The sequence below is a fragment of the Homo sapiens genome, chromosome 16 (assembly GCF_000001405.40).
Source record: "Homo sapiens chromosome 16, GRCh38.p14 Primary Assembly".
Classification (NCBI taxonomy): Eukaryota; Metazoa; Chordata; class Mammalia; order Primates; family Hominidae; genus Homo; species Homo sapiens.
The window spans coordinates 64,882,720-64,900,010 of record NC_000016.10 but is presented as its reverse complement, the minus strand read 5'-3'; the positions used below and the strand labels follow the sequence as shown (position 1 = coordinate 64,900,010).

The 17,291-nt window shown below is 39.0% G+C and overlaps 1 long non-coding RNA gene across 2 annotated transcripts in view; it reads left to right on the top strand.

Annotated features, from left to right (window-relative positions):
• LOC124903779 (uncharacterized) overlaps window positions 1–17,291 on the top strand; it is a 27,818-nt gene extending 10,527 nt beyond the window's left edge. For both annotated transcript variants that reach the window (XR_007065223.1, XR_007065222.1), the window contains exon 2: window positions 17,065–17,291. This is a non-coding gene — a long non-coding RNA (uncharacterized LOC124903779). The remainder of the gene's footprint in view (window positions 1–17,064) is intronic.

Genomic DNA, 17,291 nt, shown 5'->3' with positions numbered 1-17,291 from the left:
CAATTCACTCTAGCAGCCACATCGTCTTTGTCCCCGAGTTCCAAGTTTTATAGGGATGGTAAATACACTAGTATTCTGCGTTTTCCTTAACTTACTTGGTGTTCAACTTTGCTAAACTTGCAGATGCCAGTTTGGGGACATTCAGTGGGAATACAAATAGCCACAAGTATTTTTATTGATCAAAAGAAATGTGTTTGAACAATCCTCAATAGATTTAAAAATGAGAGAACCCCAATGTTAGAATTTTACTCTAGGAGCATTTCCTTCTCTTTAATTGCCCGCTTGCTCCTTCATTACGCTGACGCTCTCCTTCAGTGTTTAAATACTGCAGCTGTTTTTCCTCTGTTTGTCTCTTTTAGAGTGAACTATTAACTTGTCATTTCAATCTTCTAAAAAAAATGCTTATGATTGACAAAACTTTATGAAATAGTGCCAAATGAGAGAAAATTAGTGCCATGAACAAGGAACAGCTAAGCAATATTCGGAGAGAAATTTGTCATTGTGGGCTAACAGTGTAATTGGCTGGTTAAATATATTATAAACAGGCTGGGTTCTCTACCCTGACCCTTCTCTTTTCTTTGAATTCCTGCAAGACATAAAGTTATACAATTTCAGGATGTTCGGCTTTGAAAGGATTTTTCATTTGATACGTTTTTGTTTGGTTCCTTTTAAAGTGAATGCTATGAATACAGAAAGTACTATATGACAATAATCTTCTTAAAGATAAAGTAGCAGAGAGCCTTTAATTTTCTGTTTTTTCACTAGTGATCAGTGGCTCTCTTAATCACCATTCCTTTCATTTTGGGTAATAAGACATTAAAATAGCCAAGGAAGACAGATCTAAGTAAACTGGGCTTTTTTACTCTCCTTAATACTTCTTTTAAATGAAAGCATAACTTACATATAATAAATACACACATTTCAACATTTTAATGTGCAGTTGAGTGGCTTCTGACAGGTATGTACTGCTGTAATTGTCATCCAAATTGAGAGAAATCAGATTTTTTAAAAATAGACTTCGAAGCATATTTTTATAGATTTTCAGATCCTGTTACCCCCAAAATGATAGAGAAACTTCCTTATGAAGCATGCTCTTTTAATTTTTCGTAAAGAACTCATGATTCTAACTCCAAAATAAACTTTGTCCGAAGACCTTATTTTTGAAACAGCAGCTGGGTAAATGAATGAAGGAAATTCAGTGGGGTATAATAAGTAGGGTAAAAAATCAGCTACTTTTTCCTGGACTGAAATTTGTCATATGAGAGGTGCTGTTTTTAGTCTTTCTCTAACTACCCCTTGAGCCCCAGATCACAACTCTGTGTGCAGAAATAGAACACTGACATCAGATAGATCTGGCAAATCTTCCATAAACTTATTTATTCATTTATTTATTTATTTTCACTGTGTCTACAGCAGCTCAGCTGCTAAATGCCTGTATAATGGCCAATTAAAATAGCTTTTAGACATTATATTTTTTCAATTAAGATGTGATTCACTAAACCAATCAATTATAGGTTATGATAAAATTTCAAAGGTGACTTAAAATGCAATAGCATGGAATTAAGAAATCATACTTGGCTCAAAAGGGCCACCTTCATTTTGAAGTCAACCAATACACTGTGTACGAGCTCCAAAAAGTGTGGCAATCTTGCCCACTCCCTCCCCATGTCTAACTGATGCATTAAAATAAATTAAGAGGCCAATTTAAAAACATGCCTCTGAAGCTGCCCCCACACAATTACATCAGGGACAAATAGAATCATATTTTTCATAACAACTAGCCGGTGATTTATTCCACCCTTGAGATAAATGCAAAAATGGGAACAGCTAACATCCCTTTGTAGAAAGGAAGCACTTGTCATTATGAAAGTTTGTTCTTCTTTCAGCTTTGCCGATACACCCCAGTATGCGTCCAGATGTGGGCATGTGCGTTATTCTGGTGCACTCTTCTGACAGAAGCTCATGGTGAAAACATTTTCTTTCTTTCTTTTTTCTTTCTTTTTTTTTTTTTTTCCTTTATTTTTTTGAGATGGAGACTCGCCAGGCTGGAGTGCAGTGGCGCGATCTTGGCTCACTGCAACCTCCGCCTCCTGGGTTCAAGCGATTCTCCTGCCTCAGCCTCCCGAGTAGCTGGGACTACAGGCACACACCACCATGCCCAGCTAATGATGAGAACATTTTCATTAGGCAGGAGCTGTAGTTGTCACTGAAAGTGAACAAGATTAGTATTGACTGTGGGAAGCAAAGGTCGGAGAGAATCCTGCCTTTCCCATTAGTGTCCCTTTCCCTATGTATCTAATCATTTCAGGTCCCAATGAGTTCTTTGTGTGCAGGATTCCTGCTTTAAATGTTATAATACATCAACCTAATGTTCATCTCAAGAAATGTGCTTCAAAGGCTATTCCAATTTTGCTGCCATAAATTTATTACTTAAGAAAAATTCTGTGACATACAATATTTTAGTAAAAATGCAGGAGGGGTAACAGAGGGCAAAGACGGGAAGGGGGGATGGACAATAACCTTCATCACTCGTTATTGCAGTGGGACTTCCTAGTGTGGCCAGAGAGGTCAAAGGTGGTGGAGGATCCAGAGATAACAGAGTAGAATAGAGGAGAAGGCCTTTTTTGTTGTTTGCTGTGCTCCCAGGGTGACTCTTCAGCAGAGGCCCTGGGAGGCACTAGTGGCTTTACGAGCTTGATAAAGACACCTGATCACCCATTCCTCCTTAAAGTCTCAGCACTGACAGCGTTAGCCTCTAACTACACCACCTCCTTCCCAGTTCTCTAGCTAGAAATGCATACTCTAGGGCCTCAGGCTATATCCCACACCGAAGTCCATTTTGTCAGCAAAATAGAATGTGTCTGGTTATTGCTTCCAGACTCTTCCCAGATCCTAAAGAAATTAAAAATAAATGCAGTCTGCTGGGGCCAAGGCATGGAGTGCTATGGCATCCCAGCCCTGAGCAGAAATCTGCAGCCCCAAGGAGCATATTCTTGCTGTCAGAGAGCCTGGGCTTCCATATTCCCCTTCCTGTGCTCTGGGAAAATCTTACCCTCTCTGTGCTATGGTAACCTCATTTGTAAAAACATAGACTCTGCTTCATGATATTTGGACAAATTTACCCTATAATGATGCAATATGCTTGGTATAGGGTTGGCACAAAGTGAGGACTCAGCATGTGTTAATTCCTTCTTCACCTCTTCCTCCAATGCTTCTTCCAGCTACTTTCTTCTTGTCTACATTTTTATCGTTTTGCAGCCCCAGACAATTTGCTTGTGCCATCAAAACAATATTGGAGAGGGAGTTTGGATTCCCTTGCCTAAATCTGAAGGGCCCTGGTATGGGAGGCATGCATTTCTGCACCTCTGTCTAGGATCCAGAATCAGATGCTGCTGGCTTCCTATTGGCCTCCCCTTGCAAGGGGAGAAGCCACCTCTTGTGCTCTGAAGCCACCTATAATGGAACACCTGCCATGACACTGTGCCATCCTGAAACTGTTTCTTAAATGTAGTCATTTGTTTGCCCATTTATTAATTTAAGTTTCATATATTTATTAGGTTCTTACTGAAGTCTTCCTCTGTATCCTCATCAGGGTGCAGGTACGGTCTCCTGCTCTTCAAGTCAGCATGGCCTTAGTTAGCTTAGACAGAGGAACAGATGTTTTCTTTCATTTCTCATATTCCTTTTAACACTTGAAAAGTTCCTTCTCTACCAGACTTAGTTTCTCTTTTACATATGACACTCTTTATGGTGCTGCTGACCTTGATGTAGACTAATTATAGTAAGACAGATGTTTCTCCTGAGGACATAAGAATTAAGCATAGGCTATCTTTCTGCAAACATGAATGTAGCATCTTATGAAATCCTCCAGTTCTGCCTATGAAAAGCTGTGTGACCTTGGCAAGTTGCCTGGCTTCTCTGAGCAGCATTTCCTTCCTCCCCCACCCCAAATTTTAATCAGACCTAATATCATTCCCCTTCTTCAGGATTCTGTGAAATAATCTCAAAGGAAGCTTTTGGCCATGGAAGCTCAAACTGAGGATATCATCAATGTTATCATTCTCCCTTCATTCATTTTTAAGGTTGATTATTCTCAATTCAGTTTGTCAGAACGTCCAATGTTACAGGTTTAAGACAAAGTTGAGTTTGTTCCTAGCTTTGCTGCTAACCAGCCATGTGACAATGAGCAATTTGAGGAAGCCGAGACTCAATTTTCTTTTCTACAAAATACTTATAAAAACAATACCTTCCATTGAGGAATTGTGAGCTAATGGCTCTAAAACACTCATTTGTGTCTCCTGACAATAAAAACAACAAATGAAAAGATTTTTATCATCAGCAATTGCATCTTCAAAATTATTATGAAAAAGGCAAGTCCTTCAATAACCTTGGTTAGTGACAGCTAAATGGAATGAAGAAGTCCCCTTTTCACCAAAGAAAAGAGTGCTGGAGAACTGTCAGGTAACGAATAGTTTTCATGGCCAGGCAAGGTGGCTCACGACTGTAATTCCAGCACATTGGGAGGCCGAGGCGAGCGAATCAGGAAGTCGGGAGTTCAAGACCAGCCTGGCCAACATGGTGAAACCCTGTCTCTACTAAAAATACAAAAACTTGGCTGAGTGTGGTGGCATGCACCTGTAATCCCAGCTACTTCGGAGGCTGAGGCAAGAGAATTGCTTTAACCTGGGAGGCGGAGGCTGCAGTGAGCTGAGATTGTGCCACTGCACTCCAGCCGCCTGGGCGACGGAGTGAGGCTCCATCTTCGGGCGGGGTGGGTGGAGGCTGGGAAGAACAGTTTTCACAAGAAGACTGGAATGATTTGCAATGCAATTTTTTCTTATGTGACTCCTCACCTCTCATCCTCTGTTCTTTATTTAAATTTCCCAATGCCCAGTGATATGGTTTGGCTCTGTGTACCCACCCAAATCTCATCTCAAATTGTAATCCCCACATGTCAGGGGAGGGGCCTGGTGGGAGGTAACTGAATCATGGGGGCAGACCCCCCTCCCACTGTTCTCATGATAGTGAGAGAGTTTTCAGGAGATTGGACAGTTTAAAAGTGTGTGGCGGTCCCCCTCGCCATCCACCACCCTCCAGTCATCATGGTAAGACATGCTTGCTTCCCCTTCACCTTCCACCATGACTGTAAGTTACCTGAGGCTTTCCAGTTGTTTTCCCGTTAAGCCTGCAAAAGCGTGAGTTAGTTAAATCTCTTTTCTTCATAAATTACCCAGTCTCAGGTAGTTCTCTATAGCAGTGTGAAAGCAGACTAATACACCCATAAAAGCACCCATAGAAAATCTCCCTCCTACACAAATGGTGTGTGTCAGTCAGCTGCATAAATTATTCTTCTGATCTGCTGTTTCAGTGTAATCAATTTAGACAGTCAGTGTCTGTAAGGAACCCAAACTTATGGATGTCTACCAAAGATGCATCAGACAGATATTTTTCTCATGTGCACTCAGACATACTGACACTGAGAGCCAGTGAAAATTATCAAAGAACCACTTTTTGTGTGATTGCTGTGTGCTACAGAGCAGGAATTTTACATACATCATCCCTTTGAATACTTAGAATGAAACTGTAAACTAGATAATATTTCCATTTTACAGATGAATAGACTGAGCCTTACAAAGGTAAATTAACTTGGTAATTTCAGTTTACATCACTTTTATAGGAGGATCTGGGATTCGGTTGTAGATCTGTTTGAGGCTAATCATTTCTCTACTCTGCTCTTCTTCCTCTAGGACAAGTCAGAAAATATTGGGGAGAGATTTTCTGTTGAATGTCTATATATTTCATAGTGAGTAGATGAACAGGAGGCTTTAAGTATGGCTTTTTTAGGGAACTGAGAATTTAAAGTGAATTCTCTTCTTTCCATGTGATAGAGAAAGGGTTATATTCCCAGTGCTAGTGTTAAAGTTAATGGACTGGATCATAAATGAATTAGACAGATGAATAACAAATTAAAAAATAAAAGAGCCACCCTCTAATATGTGGCATTCTCCTAATCTTCACAGTAAAAATATACCCCTCTCTGAAGGTGTAAGTAAAACGCTCTGACATTTGAAAGAGTGATGTGCAGAAGCTTCAAGAATCTTGCAGTGTTTAAACACCTCTCGAATACATCTTATTATTCCCACATTATAGATGAGGGAACCGAGGCTGAGAAATGAGTTGCCTGAATGTCAGCCAGAAGGAAAGTGGGAGATCCATTTGGGGATCAGGGTGATCTTTCTGGAGCTCAGTGCATGCGACATTTCCTTTTCTAAGCTGTCTTCACTCCATTGGACTTAGTGAGAGGCAAGACTATGAGCTTTCTTCTTACATGGATAGGACCGTGCTAAGCCCTGTCCCCGCACCCACCCTTCAGACTTCCGGTTTCCCGTCTGCAAAGCAGAAATGACATTGTTTGTCCCATGAGGCTATTGTGACTATTAGATTTAGTAATAGCTGTAAAGTGTGTTTTGTCATGTTTAGCACGCACTTTATGCTTTTAACAAATGCTACTTTCACTTCTTTCCCTTTGAATAGTCCGTTGGATAAATAAAATAAACCTTACTCCATTTCTCAGATTAGGATGCCCAGATCACAGTTGCTGACAGCTTGCATGGCTTTATGTTCAATAAAGAGGCACACAGAAGATTTATCACCCAGATGTGACAAATGAGCCCTTTCCCTTTTCATTAACTTGTGTCAGGCCATATATCGAAATTACAGTGTGTCATCATTCTTGATGACCTTTGAGCTATCGATTCTTCCAATTTTCATAAATGAATATTCCATCCATAGGACATGTATCTGCCAGTTTCAGAGATCAATACCATCTTTTGTGGTGGTCATTACAGGAACTTGTAATGTAACCTCTCAAACAGATGCTTGAGTCACAAGGAAGCAATTCATTCTATCCAGTATAAACAGACCTCAGCATTTTTGTTGGGAAATGCAACAATCTCAGACAATCACTGTCTCTAATGCACAATTCTTACTGGAAAGGATCCCACGCTCCAGGGGAATTTGAGTCAGTTATTTACACAGTCATTAAAAACCTTTTTAATTTTTTTAAACACCAACAGTGTGTCATACTCAGTACTAAGCACAGTGTCTATAATAGGTACTACAGGATGTGCATACACAAACGTACACATTATGTACATTATGCACATATGTATATATGTATATGGTAGAACCTCTGATTTGCAGAGATGACATGAACATAAATAACTACCAAATGACCAAAAGTATTATATTTCAAAAGAGAGATATAGCTAATAGGCTATAAGAGTTTAGAAGAAAAAAGAAAACACCAGTTCCACAGTAGGTATATCAGAGATGATGTCATAGATAGTGAAGTTTATATAGGATTGGAACAATGTACACCAGGAAACAGAGGGTTTTGAGGACAGAAAAACAATATAAACTGATAGAGTGACTATGAAGTAGTGAACATGTTATGCACACTATAAGTGTGAGCACTGTTTCTCACGGATCCTTGTTTTCGTGGCACCTGTGTCAGCACATAGTTGGTGAACATTAATGGTGTGTTGAATGAGAGTATCTGTGGACAAATTAAACAAGGCTTGTGGATGATTAATTTTCTGCAATAATGTAAGTATTGTAGAGATGATCCCCAAAGTTTAGAACAAAAAGGGGAGATGATATAAATATGAATATGAATATGGATATGGATATGGATATAGGGATCAATCACATACATATTTCTCCCCCCAGTGCTAAAATACATGCTTGTCACATTTCACATGATGATAATGATTGGCCTTAGAAATATGTGGTATTTGAATAACAAATATTACTTCATTCCATTTAAAAAATGGCTCAAAATTCATTCTCAGATTGTGGAGGGGAAATTGCCAAGAAGGCCTACCCACCTCTGGAGAAAGAAGCCCATTTCTGAGCTGTGAATCTGACTTGTGGGGTCCGCTGGCTTGGAAAAGGTTCAGTTGTTTCTGGCTGTCCTTTGAATTAGTAAAGATCTCAGAGCTAAAAGGTGCTGAGATCCTCTGTGGCTGACCTCATCAGAATTCATCAGTGAGTACGCACTGGACTCCTGAAACAATGTCCTTCCTGGTATGCTAAGGATGTATGTGGACTGGAGGCAGGGGTGAAGGCCAGCACCATTCATGGACCCTCACGTTTTTTTCACCTATAGTCTCTCAAAACTGCACACTGATAGTAGCCCTGATCCTTGGAGCTGGGCATGCTATTACTGAACAGATGTCAAGAATTTGAAAGAAGGCAAGAAGAAATCTGTTTTTAACTAATCCAAGTGGGAAACAGGTATTTACTTTTTCACATAATTAGAAAGCCTGAGTTTGGAACCAAATGTCTACATTGACTTCAAGAATATCATGTCCCTCTCTTTCCATCTACTTCCCTCTTCCTTCTCCTTTCTTTCCCTTTCCCATGTCTTAGTTCTGCTTCTCTCAATAGGTTGTCCTTGGCCTGTCTTCCTATAGTGAGGCATCCTCCATGTAGCTAGCAGAAAGAGGCACAGGCATATCCAGCTCTAGGCTTCCATTAGCTTAACTCTCTGAGCATGAAATAGATAGAAAACTTACTTAGCCTACACACAATCCAGAGAAGGTATCTAGTCTAGGTTGGTGACAGACTCATCATTGTGCAGTCACTGTGGCCAGAGGGGTGGCGTACCCTGAGTGACCTGACCTGGATCACTTGCCCACCCTTAGTGGGACAGAACACTGTGATTCACAGCCTGTGTAGAACCACATTATGTGGAGGAGGGGCAGGTTCCTAGTGAAATGTCTGGAATGGGGAAACATGACAAAATAGGACATGAGAAGGAGACTACTAGACCATTTTAGAAATGGGGGAAAGACTCTTCTCCGCAGTTCACAACGGTGAGCAGTGGAGTGAAAAACAACTTTTGCAGAGTCTTCCTTAATTAATGGGGGTAAAAGAATAGACAGAGAGAAAATAAAGTAAGGCTCTAGGCGTATCTACAATATTCCACCATGAAGTAGAGTGGCCCAGTTCTGTAATTAAGTGGAAGTGGGACCTTTCGAAATGTTGCAGCCTATCCTCATTATCAGCCTTAAAAAAAAAAAATCCAAATAATAGATAACAGCTTCTGCTGGATGCCTAGTCTTATGTTCATAACACAAGGAATAATAATGATTGCAATGATATCCTTGAGTCAAAAAATATGCCATAAGTCAGCTGGGTTTAGTGATTGATAGACTTGTGCATTTTCAAATTATGTGGTGGCTCAGGGAAGGAGGTAACAGAATTAGGCTTGATAGACTCAAGGTGGAGGGAAGTGATGTGACTCTTAGAAGCGATACACATAATAGAGTTCTGAGTATCAACTCCATGTCAGACTCCCTCCATTGCTTAATTTTACTGTCTCATTCAATCCTTCAGCAACTTCCACTAGAGAGAGGCGATTACATATTTTTTTAATTTAAAGAAGAGATTGAAACACAAAGAAGATTTCCTTGTATAAGGTCAGTGTCAAGGTGAAAACCTGTTTTTGCTACAGCACCACAAACAAACCAATGAAAGCCATCAGCAGCCGCAACACACTATGTCAAGATACTTTTTTCCAATGCAGTTAGAATTATTGGAATAGGAAGACAAAGGAGTTTAGAATCACAAAAGAATGAATAAGAAATGTGCTGGTCTTGAAGGCTATATAATGTCAGCCAGAATGAGCAGGGGAAAGGAAAGCTATACATTGGGATTGACATTGCAAAGGACTGAAGCTTTTAAAGATTGAGTATTTCCATTGTGAGCACTTGACACAATAAAACAATCTTCCAGAAATGCACATTAAAAGAGTAAATAGATGATACATGAATGAATGAATGGATGGGTGTTCATTCATTCAGCATTTTTTACTTATAAACTTTCATTATTAATTCACATGATATATTATGTCTGCTTGAGTCTGTGCGGAATTGAACAAATCAATATGTTCTTCATCTCATTTCCACAAAGCGTTCCACAAGAATGAAGGTGAGAGGAGGTGTCTATTCCCTGCTCCCTTCCCACTCATTCTCACCCCCAGATATCCTTTCTTCAAGGGTTCGTAAATCTCTGCCTTAGCAACAGACTGCACCAATGTCTGAAAAATAAAAACTTCATGTGAATTACAATTTAAAAAAAAAATAGGACAGTGAAAATGAAGCTTTGTGGTGTCCACTTAATTTGGAGGGCATTATTTTTAGCCTTGCAAAGGACCAGTGGCACGAAAACAATTAGGATCTTTTGTCAAGTTAATTAAATTTTACTAAGTGTAGTAATCTCAGTGGGCTTCATACACCAGAGGTAAAACTCATTAAAACGCAAATTCTTCCTAGCCTAATAAGGAGTTCTAACTTGGATAGCTGAGGAATGTTGTGCATACTGAGAGATATTCAAAACTAATTTATAATGAGATGAGGGCAAACCCTTAAATGGCTCAGTTCTGTTGAAGTCTCACTTGAGAACACCAATAAGTTAAACTGGAGGCTGCCACTTAAGGTAAAAAGAAAAAAAGCAGACTGGCAAGCTTTGCTGGGTGCAGGAGAAAAATGGATCCAGCTTAGACAAGTAAGGATGGGGAGGCCAGCAGAAATGAGATAGCCAAGTTTTCTCTAAAAAGTGCTATTTTCTCCCCAGGTTTCTTCTCTTCATTAAATTCTCCAAGGGCAGGCTGAGCTAATTGCAATTGCTTTTCTTGTAGTATTATTTTCTTAGAAAGCTACCTGGAGCAAGATTATTTAGTTCACAAGTATTCAGATCAGTAGTTAATCCATACCACATCTCCTGTGTGGCACTGACAGCCCCATTTTTAAGATAAAGCCATTGAACAACTAAAAAAAGAAAAAAGAAAAAAAAGAAAAAAAAAAACTCAACTCTATCTAGAAATTAGCAGGGTATTAAGATGACAATCCAAAATGGTTCAGTCTTAGCCCTTTCCTTAGAACCCACTGACACCAATTTCTACCACCAGTCAAATGTGTATGAATATTTGCAGTTGAGAAACTTGAAATGATTGTTTAATTGCAATGGACAACCTTCATATAAACTTGGGCACACTTTAATTGACATGCTATTACTCTACCATTTATTGAAAGCGGCATGTGCCTGCTGACATTTTCCCCGTTTCTCTGTCTCATTTCACACCCTGTGGTCTGGCTCTGGCCCCTGATAGCCCACTGACTTTGGCAGGTGCTGCCAATACCTTTCTAATCACCATACCAAATGTGTTTTCTTTGTTGCAACTCTCTTCAACCAGATTCAATTATTTGTCACATTGTCCACCCAATCCTTCTGACCCACCACTCTGTTTTATTTTGTCCAATAATGTTATAAATGCAGCAAGACATGCTGGGGGGAAAAAGGCAATATTAAAGTTTCTTTCTGAGAAGAAGGCTTCTTGCCTAGTTTTGCTTAATAGGTGTACCAGGGTTCTCCTGGAAACGAAAGATAGATTCCTTCAAATTTTGTACCTGTAATAAAACTAGAATATTCTCTTTTCCTATATTATTTCAATATCTGTGTTATGTAAGTAATGTATGCTCATTGTAGAAAAACAAAAGGAAGGTCGGGCACAGTGGCTTTCGCCTGTAATTCCCAGCACTTAGGGAGGCCAAGGAGGGTGGATCACCTGAGGTCAGGAGTTTGAGACAAGCCTGGCCAACATGGTGAAACCCCATCTCTACTAAAAATACAGAAATTAGCCACAGGTGGTGGCACACGCCTGTAATCCCAGTCACCCCAGAAGCTGAGACAGGAGAATCATTTGAACCCGGGAAGCGGAGGTTGCAGTGAGCTGAGATTGCGCCACTGCACTCCAGCCTGAGTGACAAAGCAAGACTCCGTCTCAAAAAAGAAAAAAAAAAAAGAAAGAAAGAAAGAATAAAAGAAAAACATAAGGACAAGAAAAAGATGCATATAATCAAATCACAACTTCATTTTTTTCCTTCTTCTTCTCCTGCTCCAATTCCTCTTCCTCTTCCATCTTTTTCTATTTTCCCTTCAAGGTCTTGATACAATGCATGCATCTATTTTCACCTTTGTTATGTAACACTCTAGCCTGAGCATTTTCTTATGTCCCTAAAAGTATTCATAAGCTATTATATATACTGGAAAGAACATGAACTTTTAAGTTTGGCACATCTGACTTGAAGTCCCAGCTTTTATTAGCAGTGATGTGATGTAAACAAGACTTTACTTGTTCTTTTAGCCTAGATTCCCTGTCTGTAAAATAGGGATGATAGTAACTACAACATAAGCATGGTAAAAGGATAAAACTGTTCCTCTTCAAAACTTGTCTAGCTGTGGCTTTTGTTTTTGGTAATTATTAGTAGTATTATTTTGAATTAATAAATGCAGTATTTAGTATTTCCACAGTATTTCATCATGTAGATGTCCTATAATTTATTTGTTTATCTCTATTATTACATATTTAGTTTCTTCATTAGTTTCCCAATTTCAATAATTCTAGAATGAACATCTCTACATCTTTATTAACAAAATTTTCTATACACTCAGAAGTTACTTTCTAGAAAGTTTGCATCATGTCCTTGTCTTGTGACCTGTGCTTGAGGAGGGGGTGTCTCCTTAGCTACCCCAGATGCTTTGGTAAGTTCAGCAGGAAGACGGCTGACCACTCCCCCACCGTAGCCATCGGTAACACACCGATGGCCTCACCAGAAGGCTTCTATCTCAGGCTTCTGCCAAAGATTCAAAGATCTCTACTTCCAACAGGGTTGATTTACCAGCTTATAATTTTGAGGAAACTACTTTCACTCAAAGCCCCTTTTTAAGATTCTACAAGCAATTCTGATTAATTTTTCTCAGTTCTTCACTTCTCTCCTTTCACTCTTAGTGCTGAATTCATAAGAGAGAGAAAGAGAGATCACATGATTTCATCAGTGTGAAATCATGCCTGAAATTACATATAAGTAAATAGAGAGATGTCAACTCATTTATGGTGTATTTAATAAGATGTGGGCTCTTGGCTATGGAAGGATAAGGAGGCTCAACCTGAAAGGGGGCAACTAAAATAAGAAAATACTTCAACCACTGTTGAAATAGAAGGAGACCAAATTCTCTCTACTCTGTACTCCTCAGCTTTTCTTCTCATTGAACATTACTAAGCAGCAATGTCCCAGGCGCCATATTAGTCTCTGGGAATACATGATAAATAATAAAAGGTATTTTTTTTAAGAACTCATTGTCTGATTGGATGGGGATCCCCAGAAATGGGGTCACTAATAATGACACTCTAAGTTGACAAGTTTTATGGTGAGAAAAACACTGGAACATGAGGAAAAGAGGTCAAAGCTGATGAAACAGAAATGCTTCTCACTTGAGCTGGGTCTTCAATATTGAGTGTACATTCACCAAGTTGACTAGAACAACCAAATGCTGGAAATCATTTGGATAACAAGACATGCTAAGAAATGGATAGCCTGCAGTTTGTGTGGCTGAACTGGGCACTGTTTGGAGGAGAGAGGATGGGAGACGAAGCTGATTTCCAAATGGAGAAATAATATCACAGGGAAAAATGCAAATGTTATTCTAAGGACTCTAGATTTTGCCACTGATGTGTGCAAGGATCATTGCAGATTTTGTTGGCATTTGTTTTGCCAGTCAATGGCTTTAATTTACCAAGATATTTATCTGAATCATGGTGATTGTTGTGAAGCTAAGAGACACAGTTCATACATTTAAAACTAAGGGAGGGATGTTTTTGGAGAGGCATGTAACTTTCCATGAAATAAGTGAATGCAAAGCTAAGTATAAGGTAAGATTTTCTTCCAAGAATGTTACCCAAGGGGGAGATTCCTGTGGAGACTGCCACTGTAGCCTTTTAATAATTGCAGGGCAACAAGCTAATTATTGTGTTTCATCTTCTTCCTTTGTAGACTCTAAACTGAAAGAACAAACTTGAAAAATTAATTTAGGACTATGAACAAACAAAACCACTATCCCCCAGAAGGAAACTAATAGAAGAGACATATTACAGTGTTCAAACTTTGCATGTAAACTCTGCTTTCCCTCCACAAACCCAAAGCTCCTTCTGTTTTTGTCCATGGTTTGGATTGCATCCCTGTGAAAGCCAGTGTGGGGAAAGCTTGTCTGGACTTAAGTTTCTAATATGGTATATATTTCTACAATGCAGTCTGACTTATGATTCTGGCTCTGTAACCTTCGCAAATTGTCTGTCTTCTCTTAGACTCAGTTTCCCTTTCTGGCTTTCGATGGCTTGGATTCAATTCCACTGGTCCAACATTTGACTCTTTAGTCACATGTAGCCTTTCTAATCCCGGGAGTACTGATGACTGTAGTTGTTGGGAATTCTATTGATTCAATGCCTTCTTTTACAACAAGTATTTTGAAACATTTCCTTTATTATCCTGAAATAAAACCCATGATAATATAAGTTATCTACATCCATAATTTTAAAAATCAATGCAATGCCCTGATTGTAATGCAGAAAAGAAATTAAAGAAAATAGAGTATAATAAAATGATAACTACTTCCCATAAGTTAAGAATTCTGACATGACATTATAAGAAGATATAATGAAGTAGCAAGATACCTACATCCATATAAAAAATCATGAAAAATGAGACTGCCTAAAATATAGACAAACAGATGTACTGTAATGGAAGCATAAACATAAATAGGGATATTTCTGTAACTATGATTTTTCCAAAAGCTAAACAACTTTTGGCAAAAGTTTAAAAAATCTAGTGTTTCCTAATTTACACTGAAGTTGTATTCCTGGAAATTTCAAAAATTTTCAAACGATGAAATAATTTCCTCACGTTCATATCTAAAATGAACGCAAATCTAAGTACCTATGATTTTAAAGAGTTTCTAGTCTACCTGTCTTCCTGATAGACTCTAAAAAGTCATATGGAATGCAGGATAGGTTTTTTGAACAGGACTGTTCTTTCATGGAAACCCTCATCTCCACCCATTAAAAAACCAGGATCCCCTCATCCCCACCATTTTTAAAACACACACTGCCTGGGCATGGTGACTTATGCCTGTAATCCCAGCAATTTGGGAGGCCAAGGTGGGAGGATCACTTGAGGCCAGGAGTTCAAGACCAACCTAGGGAACATGGTGAGACCCTGTGTCTACAAAAAAAAAAAAAAAAAAGAAAAAAGAAAAAGAAAAGAAAAGAAAATTAGCCAGGCATGGTGGGGTGTGTCTGTGGTCTGTGGTCTCTGCTACTCAGGAGATTGAGGCAAGAGAATCGCATGAGCCTAGAAGTTGGAGGCTGCAGTGAGCTGTGATCATGCCACTGCATTCCAGCTTAGGTGACAGAGGGAGATCCTGTCTCTAAAATGAACACAACACAACACACACACACACACACACACACACACACACACACACACCCCAATCCCTTATGGATTTTTTTAGCATTCATACTAAAGAGGTGATACTCTCTTGGTGGCAGGCCACAAGTCCAGTGCCTTGCTCAAACCATTGCACAGGTCATTACTTCTGAAATTGACTGTCCTAAATTCCACGTGAAGTATTCTAAAGGATTCCTGACCCATGGGAAATTCTTATGTGGAAGGCCTAATATTAAGAGGTGAACTGTTTCCGCCCCCTAAACTCATATGTTGTTCTAACCCCCAGCCCCTCAGAATGTTACTACTATTTGGAAATAAGGTCTTAAAAATGAAATTAAGCTAAAATGAAGTCAATAGGGTGGTCCCTAAACCAATATGACTGGTGTCCTTGTTAAAAAAAAAAAAAAGGAAATAAGGATAGATATGCAAAGAGGAAAGACCATGTGCAGACACAGGGAGAAGATGGCCATCAATAAACCAGGAAGAGAGGGCTCAAAATAAATGAACCCTGCAGACACTTTAATGTTGGACATTCAGCTTCCAGACTTTTTGGATAAAATAAATTTCCATTGTTTAAGCCACATAGTCTGTGGCGCATTGTTATAGAATTCCCACATAATGAATACATTTACTTTTCTACTACTACTATGATTTCAATTGCAACTATAGCTCTTCTTACTACTATTACAACCACTACTGTGATCCTCCCATTACAATTAGTAATATCTCTTGAGCTTCAACTGTGTTATGTTTGTGGTGTTTATTATTCCCTGTGACAAGCAGAAAAGCAGTATAAGCCCCTGCATGGGCCACTCAGCTAACTGAGTGGCAAAATGGGCTTCAGACTCATAGACTGACTCCAAAGCCCATGTTCTCTATTTCTATTGGATATTTCCCCTCATTTCCAGGTGAATCTTGCTTGAGGCACATTATGTGTTTAAATCACAAGTCTAAAACCTCTTGGGCCACCATTAGAGATCACATTTGTGTGTATTTTGATTGTTACTGGCTTGTTAAGAGAACATGGTCAACTCTGCAACCAACAATAATGAGATAGTAGCCATTTACAAATCAATTTTGATGTATTAAAAGCAGTATTGCATAATTGCTAATAACATTGATTTCAGAGTCAAATTACCTTAGATCAAATCCCAGCTGTGTCACTTACAGGCCAGATGTGTTAACCTCCCTGAAACTCGGTTTCCTCATTTGTGTAATGATATTTCCTAACTGATACAGTTGTTTTGTGGATAACATGAGTGAGCAAATTCACATAAAGAACTTAGAATAGCGTGTGTTATGAAATGGCCAATATAAACCACCCAATATTAGTAAGGACTTTACCTACGCTACCTCATTAGACTTGACAGCAATGGAGAGCATTTCAGCCTCTCTGACATTCACATGAAAGCTCAGAGAGGGTTAATAATTTTATCAAGGTCACACTTCTAATGGAAGCTGTGTGACTGTTGAGTATAGCAAAACTCACACGGGCTAGTTTATCCATTCAAACCAGAAATAGATTCCTATGGCATACCATTTGATATATGCCATAAAAATGTGTAGATGTAAAAGGAAACATGAAATATATCACCTGTTTTTTTGTTTTTTTTTTTTCACTGTTTGTTGCCAAATGCCTGAAGATACGGAAACACGTATATGCTCAACAAGGAGAACATGTCTGGAAAAATAACCATGTTTTTCACTTTCTTTTCAGATGCTGTAGAACCACATGGACATAATCACATAATCATGGTCCTTAAAGAATTTTAAATGTTTTTTTTCTTTATCTGATGGCTCCATTGCAGACAGACTTGGCTGTGTCCACACCAGAGCATGAGACCGTCACTGTTTTTTGGTTATGTCAGTGAACTATCTTCACTCCCTCCCACCAAGAAGCATAGGAATGTATTCACCACCAGATTAAAACCAGCATCAATTTGA